The sequence below is a fragment of the Homo sapiens genome, chromosome 6 (genome assembly GCF_000001405.40).
Source record: "Homo sapiens chromosome 6, GRCh38.p14 Primary Assembly".
In the NCBI taxonomy this organism is placed as follows: Eukaryota; Metazoa; Chordata; class Mammalia; order Primates; family Hominidae; genus Homo; species Homo sapiens.
In genome coordinates this window covers 25799551-25818165 of record NC_000006.12, presented here as the reverse complement: position 1 = coordinate 25818165, position 18615 = coordinate 25799551, and the positions used below count along the sequence as shown (strand labels likewise).

Sequence of the window (18615 nt, the reverse complement as noted above, 5' to 3'; positions counted from 1 at the left end):
CATCTCTGCCGGGAATTTCTGTTGGCCAAATCCAGGTGGAAGCAGAGGACATGGGGGCCTACTGATGTTCATTCACATCAGCCATCTGTAGCCAAAGTAAGGTGAAGAAGGATGAGGAGTACATCTAGGGGGACAAACAGAAGACATCCAATATATACAGTGAGCAGATGGCAGAGGCATAATCTGAAAACATGTCTTCCATCCTCAAAATTCCATTGCTGTTAATGACTGTGTTAGTTAGTCTTCAGTAGTAGACAATGGTCAGCATAGTGATGGAACGTAAGCCCCTTATCAGGAAAGGGGCTGAAAAAACTGAGAATGTCTAGCCTGAAGAAGAGAAAACTTGAGAGAACATACCTTGTAGGACTTTATATAAATAAAATGCAGACCTGTTTTGAATTACAAAACTAACCCAAATATACAGAAATTACGGCGGAGCAGGGGAGCAGGGGTGAGGTTTCAGCTCCATATAAGGAAAACTTTTGAATAACTAATGCTGCCCAACATTGTTGATCAAGGGTTGAATGACATCTAATATTTATGTTGTATTTCTATGATAAGATCATGTACAGCAATGTATGCCACTTACAGTTATCATGGGTGGTTTCATGAAACTCAAACGAAGGTGTTACACAACTACACATTGTACTATGATAATAGCTTTACTGTGAAGTCCCTCACATGTTTTTTCCTTATCACTAAGAATTGAGGAAAAGGGATTAGATGACAGCTGTTTAGGAATTTAGGTATCTGCCTCCCACAACCTTTTTACTATAAATTACATGATGTCCACGTATGTCAAACGACCTGTTCGTTAGTGGCAGAGGGAAAACTAAAACCAAGATTGTTTTAAAATTCCATTGGAATATTCTTGCCAATAAAGTTGAACAAATCTGAATAGATACTGTTTTAAAGAATACGACAATAACTGTATTTAAGCAGCTGATAATTGCTGGAGATTACCAAGTAGAGTAAATTGAGTCACAGACTTACATTTGCACTTAAAATGGCCTGGCCAGCTGGGCACAGTGGCTCACGCCTGTAATCCCAGCACTTTGGGTTGCTGAGGTGGGTGGATAACCTAAAGTCAGGAGTTCGGGACCAGCCTGGCCAACATGGTGAAACCCCATCTCTACTAAAAATACAAAAAATTAGCTGGGCGTGGTGGCAGGCACCTATAATCCCAGCTACTCGGAAGGCTGAGGCAGGAGAATCACTTGAATCCGGGAGGCAGAGTTTGCAGTGAGCCAAGATCGTGCCATTGCACTCCAGCCTAGGCAACAAGAGTGAAACTCCGTCTCAAAAAAAAAAAAAAAATGGCCTGGCCATCCTGCTATATTTGTCTCCTAAAGACTATTTCAAACTTCTTAACTCTTCTCAAATCTCTAAAATGATTCCCTTTCCCTGTCTTCTGTCTCAAGTAACCTCCCTTTGACCATTGAAATCATTGCATAATCTGTCTGTACCCATTGCCTACATTTCCTAGCATCTCACGCTCTCCTTAACTCACATCTGACTAGTGTATGTGGCATCAAACACAGCTATTGCCAAGATCACTTATGGCTTCTGTCACCGCTGCCCTGAGGCCCAGGCCAGAGGGCGCTTGCCCTAGATTCCACACTGTGGATAGCCCATTCTAGCCCCTCTCTAGCTAGGCTGTCTTCATAGGGCAGGTGCCAAGACAGTAGGCTCAGTAGAGCCCATGGCTCTGCTTCTAATCATCATGCCTGGAATGTCTTGCTTAAATAGAACCAAGGCTATTGGTTATATTGGAAAAGACCAGCAGGGCTCTTCCCAACATCCATTCAACTGGGGAGTGACCAAGGGAGGTAGGAGGCACTATTTGCATAAGATATGAATGGTGCACAATGGGGAAGCCAAGAGTTTCCACATATATCCATTCAAAGTACCTAGTGAGGTGGGAATGGGTCTGGGTAGGAATAGGTCAAGCTTCAGTCTAGTCGCCAGAGATTTGTGTTCAGAATTCTAAATTTAAACAGGACTCTTCAGGTCATTTTTTTCCCTTTGGCTTCTTTCAAAATTGTCTTTGATTTACTGAAGTTGAATATTATATTGTAACCGAAAATCAAGTTAGTTGCTTACCACATGTAGAGTCCAATTAACAAGAGTGGGGTCTGGTACAAGAAAAGTGGATTTATTCCAAAGCTAGCTTGGGGAAGGGACACAAAATTTCTTGCTTTTAACTGTGCCGTTTCACCTTTGGAGCTGAAGTGGCAAAAAAAAAAAAAAAAAAGTAAGCATTTTCATATGGTAGGGGAGGAAATGAGCAAGGGCAGGGGTCCCCTTGCTACCGGGCAGTTATCTACTGCACAGTTGAGGTAGCACTTACATGGACAGAAGTAGATTGAAAAAGTGACCAAAAAGGGCATGTTTTCAATATGCTCTCCAGGTGGAAGAAAGTTCCAAGACCACTCCTGGAGAGTGGAAGTTCCGAGGCCACGCCCTAGAGATGAAAGTTCCCTGGCAATTTGGTCTGCAAATTGACTGTCAGCTCTGGAGGAGAGCTGTGTCTTGAAGCACGTAGTTAGGAGAATTTTTCCTATAGCGAATGTCTGGTGAGGGGAGGAGGTGAAACGTTGTATTTGCATTTCTGAAGGGCTAAGTTGGAAATGAGGAGCAAGAGGAAAAGGGGAAAGGGGAAAAGAAGAGAAAGCTTTAAAAAATAGTAATTCGTCTCAGAAAACAAAAAATAGTACTTCATTCCCGTTTTCTTAAAAAACTGGGGTCATTTGGTTACAACATGTCAGGTTGTAACTTTTTTTTTTATTTATTCTTGGCATTCTCTGGGCTTCCTATATCTGTGGTTTGAGGTTTATTATTAATTTTAAGAAATTCTCAGTAATTATTGCTTTAAATATTTTTTCTAATTTTTTTCTTTCCCCTCCCTCCCTCCCTTCATTCCTCCCTCCCTTGCTACCTCCCTCCCTTCCTTGCTTTTTCTTTCTTCCTTTCTTTCTCTTTTTTCTTTTTTTTCTCTTTCTCTCTTTCTCTATTTCTTTCTTTCTTCCTTCCAGTATGTTTCTTTACATGTATATCACACCTTGTGATTTTTTTTATTACATGTATATTACAGCTTTTATAATTGTCCTACAGTTCTTAGATATTTCATTCTTTGTGTGTGTGTGTGTGTGTGTGTGTGTGTGTGTGTGTGTGTTTGTGTGACAGAGTCTTGCTTTTGTCGGCCAGCCTGGAGTGCAATGGCAGTATCTCAGCTCACTGCAACCTCAGCCTCCTGGATTTAAGCGATTCTCCTGCCGCAACCCCCTGAGTAGCTGGGATTACAGGGGCACATAGCTACGCCCGGCTAATTTTTTTGTATTTTTAGAAGAGACGGGGCTTCACCATGTTGACCAGGCTGGTCATGAACTCCTGACCTCACGTGATCCGCCCGCCTCGGCCTTCCAAAGTGCTGGGATTACAGGCGTGAGCCACCATGCCCAGCCCATTCTGTCTTTTTAGTTCTTTTTTCTGTCTTGGCAATTCAGTTTTAGAAATTTCTATAGCCATTTTATCAAGCTCACTGATTTTTTCTTGGTCATGTCTAGTCTACTGATGCATCAAAGGCATTCTTTATTTCTATTATAGTATTTTTATTTCCAGCACCCCAGCCTCGCCATCTAGGGGTGTAGTTTCTCCCTGGACAATATAATTCATGCTTATGGGTAAACTACCACTCACTAACATTTGTGTCCCACAAATAATTTGATCTTTCTGAGTCTCAGTTTGCTCATTTTGAAAAAGAGATAATAAACAGTATTATATGAATTTTTGGGAAGTTGATTGAATAAAATAATTTTTTTCTTTTTTGTCCACTACAAAGTCAACTCCATAAAGGCAGGGCCTTTTGTCTGTTTTATTCACTGCTGTATCCCCAGTACTTAAAATAGGTGCATGGTAAATAATCAGCACTTAATCAATATTTGTCAAATGAATGCAAGTCTTCTGGAAGACTGATGAGCACTATATACTTTCTGTCCCAGCAGAGAATTCCTCACAGTCAAATTATTCATATAAAAAACTCATAGAAACAATTTGTCAAACTCTTATAGAACTCCAATAATCCCTGAAGCCTGGGCTGTATCTCAGGAACATAGCTGAGGCTAAGCTGTCAAAACTGGGTGATAATAGCAAAGACATGGAGTCAACCTAAATGCCCATCAATGATAGACTGGATAAACAAAATATGGTACATATACACCATTGAATACTATGCAGCCATAAAAAGAAGGAGATCGTGTCCTTTGCAGGGAAATGGATGGAGCTGGGGGCCATTCTCCTTAGCAAACTAACACAGTAACAGAAAACTAAATACCGCATGTTCTCATTTGTAAGTGGGAGCTAAATGATGAGAACACGTGAACACGTAGAGGGGAACAACACACACTGAGGGGAACACCTTCTACCACTGGGTAGAGGGTGGGAAGAGGGAGAGGATCAGGAAAAATAACTAATGGATACTAGGCTTAATACCTGGGTGATGAAATAATCTGTACAATAAACCCATATGACACAAGTTTACCTATATAAATAAACTGCACTTGTATCCCTGAACTTAAACATTAAAAACAAAACAAAACAAAACAACTGGGCAATTGTCAAGCCCTGTGCAGGCTCAGCTGTGCCATCCTCTTATGGTGGAACACATGAGGAATTTGAAAAGATGAGGGCCTGAGGGCAGGGAGGTCCAGCTGTCAGGAGTGGAGGGAGCAGAGGATAGGAGATCAGGAAAGGGCATAGGCCTTATCCCATTTCTAGTAGGGAGGGGTCCCTGTGGATAAAAGGAGGACTGAAAAACACAAGTCTTGTTGAAAAGTTTCAAAAAAGAAAGAGGAGGTCCAGTTTCTCAGACTGATACATTGAAAAATGCCATTCTGGGAAAGAGATCCACTACAAACAGAGACTTCCAATTCTAACTTACCCTGCTTTGATAGGTGCTTGTGGCTGTGCCGTATGTCTTCTCTGGTTCGTTCTGTTTTATGATGACCCCAAAGACCACCCATGTATAAGCATCAGTGAAAAGGAATACATCACATCCTCCCTGGTCCAGCAGGTAGAACACAGTTCTCCATATTGGCATCTCCCAGATTCTACTCCAAACTAAACATGTTCCAGTTTGTTCTAATGTGCTAATTCTTAATGAATTTCTCTCCAGGTCAGTTCAAGTAGACAATCTCTGCCTATCAAGGCTATACTTAAGTCGCTTCCAGTCTGGGCTATTTCCACTGGTAGTTTTACGTTTTTCTGGTCACATAACATCATGACACTATACACTCCAATGTTTATCAACTCCATGCTTCATGTTAATATAAAAGAGGTAAGTATACTATTTGTTCTTTTTTTTAACTTCACGAAAGACTCTGTGTACATTTGTCTGTCTCTAACGACCCTAGTCGCAGCTCTTGCCAGCTCCTCACACTATCTGGCTACTGCTCTTCACCTGGAAACTAACTGTTTCTGCTCTTTCTATGAACATTGCCCAAAACAGAAGGCATTGATGTAGACATAAGTGTCTGGCACTCCAGCAACAGCACACATGCATCTATATTTCCGCACATTTGCCATCTCCCATTGACTATGTGACTCCCTTTGTATATTACTTAAGGCTCAACACCACCATTCCCTGCAGGGACTGGGGGCCTCCTATGAAAGTCACTTAGCCAGGCCCTGTCACTCTGCCAAGCTTTTACCAATCCTCTCCAAAGTAAGGCAATGAGTCTGGGCTATGAAGCCAAGACTCAAGTCTTACTTTGGAAGGACTGGCATACCCATTGCTCATCTGGCTTGGAGAATCACTGATACGGGCAAACTCCTATTGTTCAATACCATAATAACCAGACAAGACAAGACTCCTTTAGAAATGGAGTCTGTCTGGGCTTACCACTTTGCCGCATTCTGTAATGAGCTTCCAGTAAACCAGCCTAGGGGCTGGCATACCAGTAAGGTCTTATAAACTCTCTCTGACTCAATTTTATACTTCATGAAACCCTGAAGTTGCTGCAAGGACTGGTAGCAGCTGGTCCAGTGTAAGCACCATACGCATGTCTGTAATTGTCATCTTTATCCTATCATTTTCCCCAGGGCCGGTATTTCCTATTCCCAATGTAGTCTTCCTCCTCTATTATCCAGTGCTTTTACGTTTCATGATACTGAAATTGGAAGATTTGACAGATTATGACAAATATTACTGACCTCAAAGCTATTTTTCTCTTTCTTTTGGGTAATGTGGTCCCAGCAGTAATTCTGTTGTTGTATGTTGATGATTTCCTATATGAAAGTACACATTTTAGATAATAAATTTTAGCATAGGGATTACTCTGTGTGTCAGTACTGCTTTACCCATCAAACTCACTCCAAGAATAATGTTTCCTCTTCAGAATGGGTTCTTGTCTTCCCTTCCCTATTTGTTTGCCTGGATCTGTGGTAACCTAGCAGGTCAGTTATCAGACTTCTTCCTGACCAGGAATATTCTCAGCGTAATTGCTGTCCGGAAACTCTTCACAGCAGCAGGTAAGCAACAGCCAGAACATTTAAGCACTTGGGAGATACTTCTCCCCTATCTTTAGGATGCACCTGACTATGTTGTCTGAATCACTCCCCAGGATTTCTCCTTCCTGCAATCTTTGGTGTCTGCCTGCCTTACCTGAGTTCCACCTTCTACAGCATTGTCATTTTCCTAATACTTGCTGGTGCAACAGGCAGCTTTTGCTTGGGTGGAGTGTTTATAAATGGCTTGGATATTGCTCCCAGGTAGGATTTGTTTATACGCTTTTTTTTAACCTTTAACAAATAAATATTGTATATATTTATTGTGCACAACATGATGATTTAAAATATGGATACTTTGTGGAATGGCTAAAATCGAGCAAAGTAACATATGCATTACCTCACACACTTAGCATTTTTGTGTGTGTGGGAACACAAAATTTACTCTTAGGAATTTTCAAGAATATAATACATTGTTTTATACTGTAGTCACTGTGTTATACAATAGATCTCTTAAGCTTATTCCTCATATATAAATAAAATTTGGTATCTTTTGGCTAACATCTCACTCCCAGTGCCTGGTAATCACTATTCTACTCTAATTCTAAGTCCAATTTTGTAAGATTCCACATGTAAGTGAGATCATGCAGTGTTTGTCTTTCTGTGTCTGACTTATTTCACTTAATGTCCTCCAGGTTCATTCAAGTTGTCACAAATGACTTGATTTCCTTCATTTTTAGGCTCAATAGTATCCCATTGTGTATATATACCACATGTTTGTTATGCCATTCATCTGCTGATGGACACTTAGGTTGATCCTATGTCTTGGCTATTGTGAATAATGCTGCAATGAACGTGGTAGTGCAGATATCTCTTTTGACATTCTCACTTCATTTCCTTTGGATAGACACCCAGGAGTGGAATTGCTGGATCATATAGTGGTTATACTTTTAATTTTTTGAGGAACATCCATACTGTTTTCCGTAACAGCTGTACTAATTTACATTCCCACCAATGGTATGCAAAAGTTCCCCTTTTTTCCACATCCCCATCAACACTTACCTTTTGTATTTTTGATAACAGACACTCTAACAGGTGTAGGGGGATATCTCATTGTGGTTTTAATTTGAATTTCCCTGATGATTAGTGGTGTTGGGCATTGTTTTCATATACCTGTTGATAGTATATCTTTTTTTGAGAAATGTCTATTCAGGTCCTTTGCCCATTTTTTAATTGGGTTGTTTTCTTGTTATTGAGTTTGAGTTCCTTGTATTCTTTGGATATTAACCGCTTATTATATGTATAGTCTACAGATATTTTCTCCTATTCTTCAGGTTGCCTCTTCAGTCTGTTGATTGTTTCTTTTCCTGTGCAGAAGCTGTTTAGTTTGATATAATCCCATTTGTCTGTCTTTGCTTTCATTGCGTGTGCTTTTGTGATCCTAACCAAAAAAATCATTGCCCAGGTCAAAGTCATAGAGCTTGTCCCCTGTTTTCTTCTAGTAGTTTTACAGTTTCAGGTCTTATGTTTAAGTCTTTAATCCATTTTGAGTTGATTTTTATATAAGGCACGCGATGAGTGTAATTCCATTCTTCTGCATGTGGATACCCAGTTGTCCCAACAGCATTTATTGAAGACACCATCCTTCCCTCATGTTGTGTTCTTGGCACCTCTGTCAAAAATCAATTCACCCTAAATGTTGGATTTATTTCTGGACTCTCTATTCTGCTCCATTGGTCTATGTATCTATTTTCATTCTAGTATCATGTTATTTTTATTATTAAAACTTTGAAGTATATTTTGAAGTCAGATAGTGTGCTGCCTCCAGTTTTGTTATTTTGGTTTAAGATTACTTTGGTTATTTGGGACCTTTTGTACTTCCATAGAAATTGTAAGATGTTTTTCTATTTCTGCGAAACATGTCATGGGAATTTTGATAAGGATTGCATTGAATCTTTAGATTGCTTTGGATCGTACAGACATTTTAACAACATTAATTCTTCCTATCCATAAGCACAGGATATCTTTACATTTGTTTGTGTCTTCTTCAATATCTTCCACCAACATTTTAGTTTTCATTGTGGTCTTTCACCTATTCAGTTAAATTTATTTTAAGAATTTTTTTCTTGTAACTATTATATATGGGATTGTTTCATTGATTTTGTGTGTGTGTGTGTGGATAGTTCACTGTAACTAGGGAGAGTTTTTAAAAATCTTTTTCTTTCTTAAATCCAAGCTCTCAAAAGCGTTGCTAAAAGTTGCTTGCTTTTGTATAAATTTAAGGCATGCAAATACAGTTTTGTTAAGTGAATATATTATGTAGTGGTGAAGTTTGGGTTTTTAGGGTAACCATTACCTGAATAATATACATCATACCTATTAAGTAATTTTTTAACCCTCACCCTCCTCCCACTCTTCCAAGTCTCTAATGTCTGTTATTCTACACTCTGTCCATGTGTATACATTATTTAGTTCTTACTTTATAACTGAGAACTTGCAGTATTTGGTTTTCTGTTTCTGAGTTGTTTCACTTAAGACAAGGGCCTTTATTTCCATCCATGTTGCTGAAAAAGACATGATTTCATTCTTTTTTATGGCAGAGTAGTATTCCATTGTGCATATGAACCTCATTTTCCTCATCCAATCATCTGTTGATGGACACTTAGGCTGATGTCTTTGCTACTGTGAATAGTGTTGCAATAAACACATGAGTGCAGATATCTTTTTTGATACAATAATATCTTTTCCTTTGAGTAGACACCCAGTAACAGAATTGCAGGATCTAATGGTAGTTCTATTTGTGGTTCTTTGAGAAATCTCTATACTGTTTTCCATAGAGGTTGTACTAATTTACATTTCCACTAACAGTGTATAAGCATTGCTTTTTCTGTGCAACCTCATCAACATCTGTTGGTTTTTGACTTTAATAATAATCATTCTGACTGGTACAAGATGTTATCTCATCGTGGTTTTAATTTGCACTACTCTGAGGATTAGTGATGTTGAAAGTTTTTTCATATGCTTATTGTCCATTTGTATGTCTTCTTTTGAAAATGTCTATTTATGTCTTTTTTCCACTTTTTTAATGTGGTTATTTATATTTTGTTGTTGTTAAGTTGGAGTTCCTTGTTAACTCTGAATTTTTTTAAAAAAAATTCTTCTTTTTTCAATAGCTTTTGGAATACAAGTGGTTTTTAATTACATGGATGAATTGACAGTGGTGATGTCTAAGATTTTAGTGCATCCATCAGGGGAATAGTGTACATTGTACCCAATAGGTGGTTTTTTTTATCCCTTGCCCGTCCTCCCATTTTCTCCCCTCTCAGTCTCCATAGTTCATTATATCACTCTGTATGCCTTTGTATACCCATAGCTTAGCTCCCACTTATAAGTGAAAAACATATGGCATTTGGTGGCAAACATAAGAAAAAATGCTCCACATCACTAATAATCAGGGAAACGCATATCATAAGCACAATGTGATACCACCTTACTCCTGCAAGAATGGCCATAATTAAAAAACAAAATAATAATAGATGTTGGCATGGGTGTGGTGAAAAGGGAACACCTTTACACTGTTGGTGGGAATGTAAACGAGTACAACCACTATGGAAGACAGTGTGGAGATTCCTTAAAGAACTAGAAGTAGAATACCATTTGACCCAGCAATCCCACTACTGGGTATCTACCCAGAGGAAAAGAAGTCATTATATGAAAAAGACACTTGCACATGCATGTTTATAGCAGCACAATTCGCAATTGCAAAAATATGGAACCAGCCTAAATGCCCATCAAACAGTAAGTAGATAAAGAAAATGTGGTGATATATATATTATGGAATACTACTCAGCCATAAAAAGAAACAAAATAATGCCATTCACAGTAACCTGGATGAAGTTGGAGACCATTATTCTAAGCAAAGTAACTTGTAACTCAGGAATGGAAAATCAAACATTCTATGTTCTCACTTATAACTGGGGAGCTAAACAATGAGGACATAGGTATAAAAATAACATAATGGACTCTACGGACTCAGGGAAAAGGGTGGGAGGGGAGTGAGGGTTAAAATACTACACATTGGGTGCAATGTGCACTGCTCAGATGATGGGTGCACCAAAATCTCAAATATCCTCACTAAAGAATGTATCCCTGTAACCAAATACCACCTGTTCCCCCAAAATTATTGAAATAATAATTTTAAAAAACATACGGCATTTGGTTTTCCATTCCTGAGTTACTTCACTTAGAATAATGGTCTCCCGCTTCATCCAAGTTACTGCAAAAGATGTTATTTCCTTCTTTTTAATGGCTGAGTGGTATTCAATTGTGTATATATACCGCATTTTCTTTATACACGCATCAGTTGATGGGCACTGAGGTTGGTTTCATATCTTTGCAACTGTGAATTGTGCTGCAGTAAATATACATGTGCAGGTGTTTTGTCTGTTTGTTTTTACAATGATTTATTTTCCTTTGGGTAGATACCCAGTAGTGGAATTTCTGGATCGAATGGTAGATCTACTTTCAATTCTTTTGGAAATCTCCATACTGTTTTCCATAGAAGTTGTAGTAATTTACATTCCCATCAGCAGTGTATTAAGCAATCTCTTTTTACCACATCCACATCAATGTCTATTGTTTTTTAACTTTTTAATAATGGCCATTCTTCCAGGAGTAAGGTAGTATCTCACTATGGTTTTAATTTGCATTTCACTGATAATTAGTAATATTGAGCATTTTTTCTTATGTTTATTGGCCATTTGTATATTTTCTTTTTTGATAAATGTCTATTCATGCCAATTGCCCACTTTTTGATGAGATTATGTTTTTCCTGCTGATTTGTTTGAGTTCCTTGTAGATTGTGGATATTAGTTCTTTGTCAATGCATAGTTTGCAATTCTTTTCACCCATTCTGTGGGTTATCTGTTTACTCTGATAATTATTTCTTTTGCTGTACAGGATCTTTTTAGTTTAATTAGGTCCCATTAATTTATTTTTGTTTCTTTTGCATTTGTTTTTGGGGTCTTAATCATGAATTCTTTGCCTAGGCCAATGTCCAGAAGAGTTTTTCCTAGGTTTTGACTTCCTGTTTTCCAGTTTGAATGCTCTTTATTTCCTTATTTTGCCTAATTGCTCTGGCTAGGAATTCCAGTAAAATGTTAACCAGAAGTGGTGAAAGTGGGCATCCTTGTCTTGTTCCAGTTGTCAGGAGGAATGCTTTCAACTTTTCCCTATTTCGTATGATGTTGGTTGTGTTTGCTATATGTGACTTTTATTATTTTGAGGTAAGTCCCTTCTATGCTTAATTTGTTAAGGATATTTATTACAAAGGATGCTGGATTTTATCAAATGCATTTTCTGTATCTGTTGAAATGATCATATGGGTTTTATTTTTAACTCTTTATGTTATATATCACATTTATTGACTTGCATATGTTAAACCATGCTTGCATCCCTAGGATGATACCCACTTAATCATGGTGTATTATTCTATCTATTTGATGCACTGCTGGATTTGGTTAGCTAGAATTTTGTGGAGGATTTTTCATCTATGTTCATCAGGGATATTGATCTATACTTTTCTTTTTCTGTTATAGCCTTTTCTGATTTTGGTATCAGGGTGATACTGGCTTCATAGAATGAGTTAAGGAGGATTCCCTCTTCCTCAATCTTTTGGAATAGTTTCAGTAGGATTGGCACCAATTCTTTGATTGTCTGGTAGAATTTAGCTGTGAATCTGTCTGGCCCTGGGCTTTGTTGTTGTTGTTGTTGTTGGCAATTTTTTAAAATTACTGATTTAATCTCACTGCTTGTTATTACTCTGTTCAGGGTTTCTATTTTTTCCTAATTTAATCTAGAAGGGTTGTATGTTTCCAGGAATTTGTCCATTTCCTCTAGCTTTTCTAGTTTATGTGCATAGAGGTGTTCATAGTAGTCTCTAATGGTCTTTTGTATTTCTGTAGTATTAGTTACAATGTCTCCAATTTCATTTCTAATTGTGTTTTATTTGAATCTTCTCTCCTCTTTTTTTGGTTAATCTAGCTAATCATCTAATTTATCTCTTCAAAGAGCCAGGCTTTTGTTTCATTGATCTTTTGTACTGTGATTCTTTCAATTTCATCTAGTTCTACTCTGATCTTTGTTATTTCCTTTCTTCTTCTAGCTTTGGGTTTAGTTTGTTCTTTTTTTCCTCTAGTTCCTTGAGGTGTGACATTAGGTTGTCAATTTGTGATCTTTCAGACTTTTTGATATAGGCACTTAGTACTATAAACTTTCCTCTTAGCATTGCTTTTGCTGTATCCCAGATGTTTTGGTAACTTGTGTCACTATTTATTTCAATCTTGATTTCATTGTTAACCCAAAACCCATTCTGGAGCAGATTAATTTCCATGTATTTGGATAGTTTTCATGGTTCCTTTTGTAGTTGATTTCTAGTTTTATTCCATTGTGGTCTGAGAAGATACTTGATATAATTTTTAAATATAAGATACTTGATCAATTTTAAAAAATTTGTTGAGACTTTTTTGTGGCCTATCATACGGTGTATCTTGGATAATGTTTCATGTGCTGATAAGAGGACCGTATATTCTGCAGTTCTTGGGTAGAATGTTCTGTAAATATGTTAGATCCATTTGTTCTAAAGTGTAGTTTAAGTTTATTGTTTCTTTGTTGACTTTCTGTCTGGATGATCTGTCTACTGCTGTCAGTGGAGTGTTGAAGCCTTCCACTGTTATTGTGTTGCTGTCTATCTCATTTCTTAGGTCTAGTAGTAAATGTGTAAATAAATCTTGGAGCTCCAATGTTAGGTCCACATAAATTTAGTATTGTAATATCTTCTTGTTTGATTGATGTTTTAATCATAATATAATGACCTCCTTTGTCTTTTTTTACTGTTGTGGCTTTCAACTCTGTTTTATGATATAAGAATAGCTACTCCTGCTCACTTTTGGTTTCCATTTGTGTGTAAGATATTTTTCTACCCTTTTACCTTGAGTTTATATGAATCCTTATGAGTTAGGTGAGTCTCTTTAAGACAGCAAATATTTGTTTTGTGATTTTTTTTATTAATTCTGCCATTTTGTATCTTTTAAGTGGAGCATTTAGACCATTCACTTTCCATATGAATATTGAGATGTCAGGTACTATTCCAGTCATCATGTTACCTACTTTGTTTTCTTCATTGTGTTATTGTTTTATAGGCCTTGTGGGTTTTATGCTGTAAAGAGATTCTATTCTGGTGCAGATCAGCTTTTGTTTCAGAATTTAGAACTCCTTTTAGCATTTCTTGTAGGGATAGTCTGCTAGAGACAAATCCCCTCATCATTTGTTTCTGAAAATGACTTTATTTCTCCTTCATTTATGAAACTTAAGTTTCACTGGATACAAAATTCTTGGCTGACAGTTGTTTTCTGTTTAAGGAAGCTTAGATAAGACCTCAATCCCTTCTGGCTTGTAAGGTTTCTGCTGAGAATTCTGGATAGTTAAGCTACATTGTTGTTCATAGCCACCAGGCCAAAAGTTCTGAAGAAATATCTATATAAGTCAGATATAATCATTAATTAATGATATGTTAATCATTAATGATATTAATCATTAACGATATATTCAGATGTATGCATCTGTCATATACGTATGTGAAAAGTATATCCTTATGATTAGAAGCACAGATTCTAGAGTTAGACAGTTGAATTTCAATATCAGCACAGCCATTTATATCAAACAAATTATTTACCTTCTCTCTGATGATTTTTTTCACACATAAAATGGATTAATAAGAGAACGTTTACTCATAGAGTAATTAAGATAATTGAATAAGTTAATGTAGGTCAAGTATATAGAATAGTACCTGGCATACTCTGGCAAGCACTGTGTAAGGGTTAGCTGCTCCATAATTATTGCTATTATGTCCATATTCATATATTATTAATTCTCATAACAACCTACCAGTTAATCATATTTACCTTACAACTAAAGAAACTGAGGTTCAGATACTTAATTTTGAGCTCAAAATCTCACCACTGGTCTGAAATTTTACCTAGGATTTTAATCCAGACCTGTTTGGCAAAAAACTTGCTCTTTTCAAGATGTTATTTTCAAGATATTATATCTCCTCTAGAGATATAATAAGTGTGACTAACAGAAGTAGCTCTGTCATTTTCAACTCTCAGGGAACACTGTTCACATTGTACCTTGTGGGGTTAGTACTCTCTGGAGAACATAAATCCAATATGAACAGAATTTTCTGAAGTTTTGTAGAGCAGTGGCCTTGGGGTAGACAGGCAAAATCAACCAAGAATAACTCACTTTCTTACAATTTTATAAAGAAGCTTGCCCACTAGATCTACACAAACTCAGTGCTAGAGAAATGAGGACATGTATTTATTTGATTTATTCAGTTCAAGACCTATCTTAAAAATGCCTGCGGGGCCGGGCGTGGTGGCTCACGCCTGTAATCCCAGCACTTTGGGAGGTTGAGGCAGGCGGATCATGAGGTCAGACCATCCTGGCTAATACAGTGAAACCCCGTCTCTACTAAAAATACAAAAAATTAGCTGGGCATGGTGGTGGGCGCCTGTAGTCCCAGCTACTCGGAAGGCTGAGGCAGGAGAATGGCGTGAACCTGGGAGGTGGAGCTTGCAGTGAGCCGAGATGGGGCCACTGCACTCCAGCCTGGGCGACAGAGCAAGGCTGCGTCTCAAAAAAAAAAAAAAAAAAAAAAAAAAAAAGAAGAAGATAGTCGTTAAAACGTCATAAATAAATAATAAATAATAGGATAAATACAAAGAAAATCACACCTAAACCTATCTAGTGAAACTGCTAAAATTGAATGGGAGGAGGTGACAGAAAGAGAGAGAGAGACTGAGAGAGAACAAAATCTTTAAAACAGCCACCTAGAAAAGGCTCATTACTTCCAAAAAAGCAATAATAGAATTGACATCTGCCTTCTTAACAGAAACAATGAAAGCCAGAGCCAATCAATTGATATCTCTAAAATGCAAAAAGGAAAATTACTGTTAACCTAGAAGTCTATATCCAGCAAAAACTTTCCTTGAAGAACTAAGTTAAAATAACATTTCGAGGCAAACTGAGAGAATTCAGCAGCCATAGACCTCCAATGAAAGGATTACTAAATGAGAATTCTTCAGGCAGAAATGAAATAATTACAGATAAATAATCACAGAATAATAATTTCATATAAATAATCACAGAAATATAGGAACAAAAGAAGAGAAATGGAGAGGAAAAATATTAGGGCAAATCTAATATAATTGAATTTGCAAAATGAAAACAATAATACCCTATGTGATATAGAATATATGTAAATTAAAATGCACTAATAATTTAATAATCATATTTCTACCAGTTGTACAGAAGATATGGTACCTATGGCCTACAATATTTTTAGGAACTCATGAAAATCTTTTCCAAATTGGAAGATAAAAAACAAACTCGTAGGTGGAAGAAAATGATTTAATGTATAATGTTAATGTATTTGCCTTTATGCCAGAGCAGTCATAAAATATAATTTTTAATATTTTTATGGGGGAAGAGGTTCATGAAAGCAAAAGTGGAAAGGGCTCACAAAAGTCATGAGTGGTCCCAATTCCCACCTAAACTCCAGGGGTTCTATTGCTGAAATGAAAAACAGAACAACAAATAGTGGGGACAATTAATAGTTTCCATTCCAAGCTCTACCTGTGGATGTTCATAACCATAAATGTACTTCTTCATCCATTACAACACACTCCCTAGATCGTCAAAAAGAGACAACTCTAATCCTACCCAATGACTGCATATAGCTTAACGTTCAAGGACTCTAGGTCTTGATGTGACTCCTCTATGAACAGGGACCCACAAATTAATAAACAAAACAGGCACCTCCTCCCATACTCAACATGTAAAGGCAGAGTAGGAATGGGAAAGACTAGGGAAATAAGAAGATCAGAAAAAAAGAAACAAGAAACTCTGAACTCTGCCTCTCATAAAAGGGAGGACTTGAACACACTGAACTTTAATGATGAAATCTACAGGGCAGGAAAAACGGACTCCCAGCCCTGGAGTGAACTCATTTCTTGATTAGACACTGATTCTGCTCTCCAAACAGCACCACCTTGCTCTTCATGGCTGATGGGTTTGACCCCTTTATCTATCGTTCGCTGCAGCTTCACTGCGTTTGTAGCTAATTTTCTGCTGGAATTGGTTTGAGCTTCCAGGATTGGCCAATTATAGTTGCTTGTAAACTAGGCTTCTGATTTCCTTGCCTGAGTATTGGAAGCAATTTTGGAGGTCAGTAGCTCTGGACCTATGGGAGTAAACCAGGTGAACAAAGCCCTTCAATTTTTTATTAACCCCAAACCAGTTCCCATTACCAAAACATATCACCTTCTGAATTTCTCAATGGAACTTACATATTTTCTAATTCTACTGGGTTTCACTCTAAATATAATCCCATTTTATTAATATCATCATATTCTTTACTGCTAACGCCAACCTTTCTGACTCTGTGGTGACACTAGAAAGTTGCCTATATTCATATACTTTTTCTAACATCTTAATGGAATTTGAGAAGCAGGAACTTGCAAAATGAGCAATTATCTCTCTTAAATTTCATTTGATTAGGTTTGCATTTCCTGCAGTATTTGTACTACTTTACATTTGTGTATTACTCTTTTATGCATAGATATTTTGGATTTATTAAAGCATGTTCAACTTTAACTGGAATGATAGGAGGACTAATTGCTTCCACTTTGACTGGATTGATCCTTAAGCAGGTAAGAAACATACAGATGTGTAGTTATTTTTCCAATATTAATTGTATAGAGAAAGATTACACATATGAAAAATTGCAGAGAAGATGCCAGAAGGAGATGACTTATGAGTTTTTGCATCATATGAAAATAAATTTGGTCAAATCAGGCATCTCTCCAAATCTACAAATAATGCAATTTCTATCTCATTATTTGTCAATTAGATATGTTGAGAACTCTTTAGTAATTGCCCATTGGTACAGAAGTGGACTTCTGTTATTTTTGATAATGAATATGTGGATTGATCAACACAGGTATTTGACTGGCTGAGTGGTAATATAAGTAACAAGATACAGTTTTCTCAAAAAAAGAATGAAAAATCACAAGTGAATAAAGACTGATCTAAGTCTGACTATGAAGGCAGACTTCTGTTTTTGCACATGTCATGGACAAAGTTACCTGAAATCTTCCTTTTAAGGACACTGAAAATGCCCTATCAAATTTTAACAGTTATTTTAAATGCATGCCTCATCTGCAAAAAAAGTAAAGCAAAAGAACATTTCAGAGATTAAAAATGAAAGAATAGCCTGATTCCAGAGAGGTAAATGACCATTGAAGACACTGGCTGCCTTGGGTCTTTGCCTATCCTGGGTAATCTATGTCTTCAGTTATAATGAACAAGCAGAAGATAAGAGATAACATCCTAAAGCCACTCAAATAAGAAGAGTCAGAATGGAAATGCTGGCATAAATCTGTACTCACAAAGGACTACACCTTCATACCACTAGCACCATGTGGATCACATATAAACTTTATTTGTAGGAACACTTACAACCAAAGGAATGGTAGTGTGTAGATAATTCCTCCAAATGCTCCTTATCCCAAAGTTGGGACAGGGAGAGATGGTCTGCATCCACCATGGCCACATTTCCCATAAAGAGGAGTCTTCCACCACCACAATCTCTGTATTTATGGTTTCAGAAAAGAAGAAAACATCACTAGAACCACAGAAGCTCCCTGGTCAGAGAAATGGCCTCATTAGAAATGGGAAGCACCAGGTGGCCATGGTCTGTTTCCTCCCTCTGAGCATAGTGCCTTTATTCTTCCATTGAGTTCACTCAGGTGTGCAGAGCTGACTTCCAAAAGTTGTTAGTGGAGCTAGTTTCTCTGCAAACATCCAAGATGTGGAAGGAAATGTGGTTCCAGAACTGTCCAAAATTGTCTCTGCCTATAAGTTAACTTAGACAGTTCTCATCTGCCCCTGCCTCAGCTTTAAAAGGAGAGAAAAACTGAATACTCTTCTGAGCATTTGAAATTTGAGTAAATCAAATATTTGGTGACCAGAAGTCAAGCCTGGGAAGTC

General features: G+C 37.3%; 1 protein-coding gene across 7 annotated transcripts in view; it reads left to right on the top strand.

The window, feature by feature from the left end:
• Positions 1–18615, top strand: part of SLC17A1 (solute carrier family 17 member 1) — a 108310-nt gene that overhangs the window by 13887 nt on the left and 75808 nt on the right. For 5 of the 7 annotated variants that reach the window (XM_017011201.3, NM_005074.5, XM_011514821.3 and 2 more), the window contains 5 exons: positions 4953–5071; positions 5174–5335; positions 6396–6528; positions 6621–6768; positions 17186–17276. In XM_017011201.3, coding sequence (XP_016866690.2) covers positions 4953–5071; positions 5174–5335; positions 6396–6528; positions 6621–6768; positions 17186–17276 — 653 coding nt within the window. The remainder of the gene's footprint in view (positions 1–4952; positions 5072–5173; positions 5336–6395; positions 6529–6620; positions 6769–17185; positions 17277–18615) is intronic. The other 2 variants (XM_011514818.3, XM_011514820.3) reach the window with 2 other exon arrangements.